General features: G+C 47.4%; 1 annotated feature.

Moving 5' to 3' along the window:
- Positions 2,073-2,573: an enhancer, noted in NCBI's record as "H3K4me1 hESC enhancer chr8:27412252-27412752 (GRCh37/hg19 assembly coordinates)". NCBI's record gives its function as "activates a minimal SCP1, AML or CMV promoter by ChIP-STARR-seq in naive H9 embryonic stem cells {active_cell/tissue: H9 hESC(naive)}" and the evidence as "EXISTENCE:reporter gene assay evidence [ECO:0000049][PMID:30033119]".

Genomic DNA, 2,936 nt, shown 5'->3' with positions numbered 1-2,936 from the left:
TGGACTTTCTGCCCTTCTCCCCTGAAATTTCCAGAGCCTGGATCCATGCAGGAGGTTTCCTTTCTTCACCTGGCATTACTGCCCTTGGATGGAATGCTCCTACCCCCGCCCTAAGCCAAGCACATCAATTTTATAAACTGCCTTTATTGAAAAAAATAAAATTACATGAGAATATGAAACTCAGCAAAAATCACGTGAATCAGTTCATTCGATCTGTGTTGCCACCGTCCCATGATTGTGATCGAGGGGTTATTTATTTCCTCTTGCCTGAAGGACTTAGCCTGTTCTGGACTTGCTGAGTCTTAACTTTTACAAACATTTCTTGGCAAGGAAAATGAATGTTGCTGCCTTAGTGGTCACCGAAGGGCTTGTTTTTAGATCTTTTCCCCTCCCAGACTTGTTAATCATTGAGAATGCGCTCCTTAATACACCATTTGTACCTGGGAACCTAACACATTTCTGTGAAACACCCGTGTCCTTACTGTGGACATTGTGAAGGGTGTTTAATCATTTCTGGTCTGCAGGTCTCTCTTCCTTGCCTCATTCCACCAGCATGTTCCCTTTAAAATACAACACAGGGCATAACGTTCCTTCAGCACATGTGAGACAAAGTAGACGAGGCTGCCTAAAGTACTTCAGACTTCCTTTACCATCTGAATCCAAGATAATTGATAAAGAGGATGAATATGTATTTGTCCCTTAATACTTTCAAATGAAAATGAACACCACTATTTGGGGCTTTCTCAGGAATTCTCTTACTTTGAGTTGCATAAATAAAAAGTTGTTTCTGTCAGGCCAGGCGCAGTGGCTTACACCTGTAATCCCAGCACTTTGGGAGGCCAAGGCAGGTGCATCACCTGAGGTTAGGAGTTCGAGACCAGCCTGGCTAACATGGTGAAATCCTGTCTCTACTAAAAATACAAAAAATTAGCTGGGCATGGTGGTGGGCACCTGTAATCCCAGCTACTTGGAAGGCTGAGGCAGGAGAATTGCTTGAACCCGGGAGGTGGAGGTTGCAGTGAGCCGAGATCGTGTCACTGCACTCCAGCCTGGGCAACAGAGACTCTGTCTCAAAAACAAACAAACAAAAAATTGTTTCTGTCTTTGAAACTCTGACGTTTAAGCCCACATAGTCACATTGGAAGGGCCTTAAAGCATGGGCTATTGGACCTTCTCCTGCCCTTCTGTCTCTGGTCCTCTTTCTTCCCCAAAATGGGGTCACAAAAACTAGAATTCCTCTTCCCCCAAGGTGGTCATAGACTCTAGACCTCCTCTCCCCCAAAGCAAGCCATAAAACTTAGATCACTTTCTCCCCTCTCCCTTGAAGACCCTCGTTCCAGAGGGGTCCTGCCCTATACCTGGGAGGAAGGAATGCTATACAGAAAGGCCAAGAAGAATCTGAGCACACAGGCCTTGCTGGGTTCCCCCTTAGTCTATTACAATGAGGTCATGGCCTTTTGTCAATCACTTTTCCACAGGACTGTCCATTCTTCATAGAACACAAGCATGAAAACAGACAGTTCTCCTGGGTCTTCGTTTCTGAAGTCTCCCTTGTCATGTAAAATTGTGATTAAATAAATGTGGTATGCTTTTCCCTTGTTTACTGTCTTTTGCTATAGAAGAATCAGCCGTGACCCTTATGATGGGTGAGAAGAAGTATCATACCTTCCACCCCTACACAATCTAACCCACAGAATGGGAGAGTATATTTGCAAATCATATATCTTATAAGGGATAAATATCCAGAATATACAAGATTTAACATTCAACAACAACACAAAACAACCCAACAAAAAATAGACAAAGGGCTTGAATGGACATTTCAAAGATATATATAGATGGTCAATAAGCACATGAAAGATATTCTACATCGGGGGAGGAGCCAAGATGGCCAAATAGGAAGACCTCCGGTCTACAGCTCCCAGGGTGAGCGATGCAGAAGACAGGTGATTTCTGCATTTCCATCTGAGGTACCGGGTTCATCTCACTAGGGAGTGCCAGACAGTGGGCGCAGGTCAGTGGGTGCGTGCACCGTGCATGAGCCGAAGCAGGGCGAGGCATTGCCTCACTCGGGAAGCGCAAGGGGTCAGGGAGTTCCCTTTCCTAGACAAAGAAAGGGGTGACAGATGGCACCTGGAAAATCGGGTCACTCCCACCCGAATACTGCGCTTTTCCAACGGGCTTAAAAAACAGCACAACAGGAGATTATATCCCGCACATGGCTCGGAGGGTCCTACACCCACGGAGTCTCGCTGATTGCTAGCACAGCAGTCTGAGATCAAACTGCAAGGCGGCAGCGAGGCTAGGGGAGGGGTGCCCGCCATTGCCCAGGCTTGCTTAGGTAAACAAAGCAGCCGGGAAGCTTGAACTGGGTGGAGCCCACCACAGCTCAAGGAGGCCTGCCTGCCTCTGTAGGCTCCACCTCTGGGGGCAGGGCACAGACAAACAAAAAGACAGCAGTAACCTCTGCAGACTTAAATGTCCCTGTCTGACAGCTTTGAAGAGAGAAGTGGTTCTCCCAGCACGCAGCTGGAGATCTGAGAACGGGCAGACTGCCTCCTCAAGTGGGTCCCTGACCCCTGACCCCCGACCCCCGAGCAGCCTAACTAGGAGGCACCCCCCAGCAGGGGCAGACTGACACCTCACACGGCCGGGTACTCCAACAGACCTGCAGCTGAGGGTCCTGTCTGTTAGAAGGAAAACTAACAAACAGAAAGGACATCCACACCAAAACCCATCTGTTCATCACCATCATTAAAGACCAAAAGTAGATAAAACCACAAAGATGGGGAAAAAACAGAGTAGAAAAACTGGAAACTCTAAAAAGCAGAGCACCTCTGCTCCTACAAAGGAACGCAGTTCCTCACCAGCAACAGAACAAAGCTGGATGGAGAATGACTTTGACGAGCTGAGAGAAGAAGGCTTCAGATGATCAA

Source organism: Homo sapiens, chromosome 8 (genome assembly GCF_000001405.40).
Source record: "Homo sapiens chromosome 8, GRCh38.p14 Primary Assembly".
NCBI classification, from domain to species: domain Eukaryota; kingdom Metazoa; phylum Chordata; class Mammalia; order Primates; family Hominidae; genus Homo; species Homo sapiens.
Note: the sequence above shows the minus strand (reverse complement) of the source record. Positions and strands in the feature narration are given on the sequence as shown.